General features: G+C 38.4%; 1 annotated feature.

The window, feature by feature from the left end:
* Window positions 1,094–2,293: an enhancer, noted in NCBI's record as "BRD4-independent group 4 enhancer chr8:84722970-84724169 (GRCh37/hg19 assembly coordinates)". NCBI's record gives its function as "activates an origin of replication core promoter dependent on BRD2, P300/CBP, MED14 and CDK7 cofactors, and independent of BRD4, by STARR-seq in HCT116 cells {active_cell/tissue: HCT116}" and the evidence as "EXISTENCE:reporter gene assay evidence [ECO:0000049][PMID:35650434]".

Consider the following 3,567-nt stretch of genomic DNA (forward strand, 5'->3'; position numbering starts at 1 on the left):
AGGGAAAGGTTTTATTGAACTATCATTTACATAAAGTAAATTTTACATATCTTAAATGTACTGCTCAATGACTTTTTACATTTGTATATATCAGTTAGACGACTACCCAGTTCAAGACATGAAATATTTTTTTACCCCAGAAGCTTTATTGCTCCCTTTTCCAATTGATAGCTTTCAAAGTAGTCACCATTCTAATTTTTTTTCATCAGAGGTTAATTTCTGTCATTGAACTATATAAACTTGTACAAATATCTTATTAAATAGGAATTTTAATTTATTACATATTTTAACGTTAGATTTATTGTTTACTTTTGTCATTGTATTTGCTATTATTAATTGTTTGGACTTAGTTACTTTCTGCTAGTGAAATCACCTTTGCAAAATTATGACAGAGTGAAAGAGATCTAACCTAAGCGACTCATCTTGCTTCTAACCTTTAAGCTGTCCTCATTCCTTCCTGGGCATAGGCTGAACTAACTTTGGGAATAACTTAGTTTATAGTTTAAGACGATAACAGCCCTTTCCCAAAGCAAACCTCTTGCCTGGACTAGACTGCCTTTATAGTACTAACAAATTAACCACAAGATTATAAATTATTGTTTAAGAGTCACGCAGCTGGAGGCTACAAGATTCTGACTCTCCCAAAACTGCTCCTAAGATAAATGCTTGAGATATTTTGCAGACCCTGCACTTGAAGGATCAGCTGGCACCACTCAGATCGATAAACTGGCTCATCTGATCTTGTGGCCCCCACCCAGGAATTGACGCAGCACAAGAGGACAGCTTCAACTTCCCATGGTTTTATCTTTGACCCAACCAATCAGCAGCACTCTTGACTCACTGGCCTTACCCTATCCACCAAATTATCCTTAAAAATTCTGATTTCTGAATACTCAGGGAGACTGATTGGAGTAATAACACAACCCCAGTCTCCCATACGGCTGGCTCTGCATGAATTACTCTTTCTCTATTGCAATTCCCCTGTCTTCATAAATAGGCTCTGTCTAGGCAGTGGGCAAGGTGAACCCATTGAGCAGTTACACTAGCCAATAATGTCTGCTAGAATTTTAAATTAAATGCATAATATTCATTATTAACTTATTGAAAGGTGAAGCTGGCTGGGCTTCTGGGTCGGGTGGGGACTTGGATAACTTTTCTGTCTAGCTAAAGGATTGTAAATGCACCAATCAGCGCTCTGTGTCTAGCTAAAGGTTTCTAAATGCACCAATCAGTGCTCTGTGTCTAGCTAATTGGGTAGGGGACTTGGAGAACTTTTCTGTCTAGCTAAAGGATTGTAAATGCACCAATCAGCACTCTGCATCTAGCTAAAGGTTTGTAAACTTGCCAATCAGCACTCCCTGTCTAGCTGGGGACTTGGAGAACTTTTCTGTCTAGCTAAAGAATTGTAAACGCACCAATCAGCACTCTGTCAAAATGGACCAATCAGCGCTCTGTAAAATGGACCAATCAGCTCTCTGTAAAATGGACCAATCAGCAGGATGTGGCTGGGGCCAGATAAGGGAATAAAAGCAGGCCACCTGAGCCAGCAGTGGAAAGCCGGTAGGGTCTCCTTCCATGCTGTGGAATATTTGTTCTTTCGCTCAGCAATAAATCCTGCTGCTGCTGCTCAATCTTTGGGCCTGTGCCGCCTTTTCCCTGTAACACTCACTGTGAAGGTCTGCAGCTTCACTCCTGAGGCCAGCAAGACCACGAACTTTCCAGAAGGAATGAACAATTCCAGATGTGCCACCTTTAAGAGCTGTAACACTCACCACAAAGGTCTGCAGCTTCACTCCTGAAGTCAGCAAGACCACGAACCCAGCAGAAGGAAGAAACTCCAGACGCATCTGAACATCTGAAGGAACAAATTCCGGACAGACCATCTTTAAGAACTGTAACACTCACTGCGAGGGTCCGTGGCTTCATTCTTGAAGTCAGCGAGACCAGAAGCCACCAATTCAGGACACACTATATCTGTGATCCAGGTAACAACTACAGGGAGGAATATTATTGACGAAAAGAGTCAAACTGTAAAATAGTTACAGAAATGTATTCTGAGCCAAATGTGAGTGACCATGGCCGATAACCCAGCCCCAGGGCATCCTGAGAACATGTGCCAAAGGTAGTCAGGCTATAGCTTGGTTTTACACTTTTTTGGAAGACATAAGATATCAATCAATACATGTAAGATGTATATTAGTTTGGTCTGGAAAGACAGGATGACTCAAAGAAGGTGCTTCCAGGTCATAAATGGACTCAAAGTTTTTCTGATTGGCCATTGGTTGAAAGAATTTATCTTGAGACCTGGAATCAATGGAATAGAGTAGCTGGGTTAAGATAAGGGGTTGTGGAGACCAAGGTTCTTATTATGCAGATAAAGCTTCCAGGTAGCAGACTTCAGAGAGAATAGATTGTAAATGTTTCTTATCATAGTTAAAAATGTACCCAACTCTTAGTTAATTCTCTCCTGAATTAGGGAAAAGAGCTGGAAAGGGAAGGGGATTCTCTACAGAATGTAGATTTTCCCATATAAGAAATAGCTTTGCATGTCATAGAAACATTTTGGGATAAAATATTTCGATTTTTTTCAGGGCGTGCTACTTTTCATGTTGATATCTTAATGCTACAAAGAGTTGGTTTTGTCAGTCTTAAGGTCTCTGTTTTAATGTCAATGCTGGTCAGTAGCGCCTGAAATTCAAAGGGAGGAACATATAATGAGGCATGTCCAAATACCCATTCCCATCATTGCCTTACCAGCAATAACACTAGAAAGTATTCAGGGATTTTTGAGAAATGCAGATAATCAGAGGATCAGTTTAAGCAAACTTAATAAGCAAGAAAGAAGCTATTACCTTATGTGCAAAAAATATAACCATAGGCACCTAATACATAATTAAATGTACCTAATACACTTGTTTGATCCAGGTTCCATTATTATAAATATTGATCTTTATTATAAAGGCCTAAGAAAAATATGTAGAGGGTCCAAAGACTTAGCTAGAAAAGCTCAACTAAAGGGCTTTAATTTATTAAATGAGAAAAATAATATCCCTAAGAGTAACTTTTTTATTAAATGAATTATAGTATATGCATTCTGAAAGATCCTTAAGGACTAAAAATGTTCCACTGTGATTCTTGCAAGACCTTATTCCCCAGCTGTTCTTTTGTACTCCTTTTTTAAACCCAAAATGACCAGTCAGTGGCTGGTACACTGTGACCACAGTCTTACTGCCCCAACACCCTGTTCCAAGATTAGTGCAACTTTGACTGACCTTGGACAATGTTCTATAAAATCTTTAAGTTTCTGATTTCCTCGAAAACATATCTTTCTGCTGTTTTCAAATAGACACACCTTAATAAAGGTGTAAACTGATGTCCTTGGCTGTTTATCGTATATGGAAGAACATATATCTATTTGGAATGCTGTTATAGAAGGTTGATAATAGAACCAAGCATGTTTAAAAGACATTACATGAGACACAATGATTACAAACAGACAAAGTATATATACAAAATAAAATGTATAAAATATAATCTCATTTTAATTTTTTTTTTTGTTTTTGAGAT

This window comes from Homo sapiens, chromosome 8, assembly GCF_000001405.40.
Source record: "Homo sapiens chromosome 8, GRCh38.p14 Primary Assembly".
NCBI lineage: Eukaryota > Metazoa > Chordata > Mammalia > Primates > Hominidae > Homo > Homo sapiens.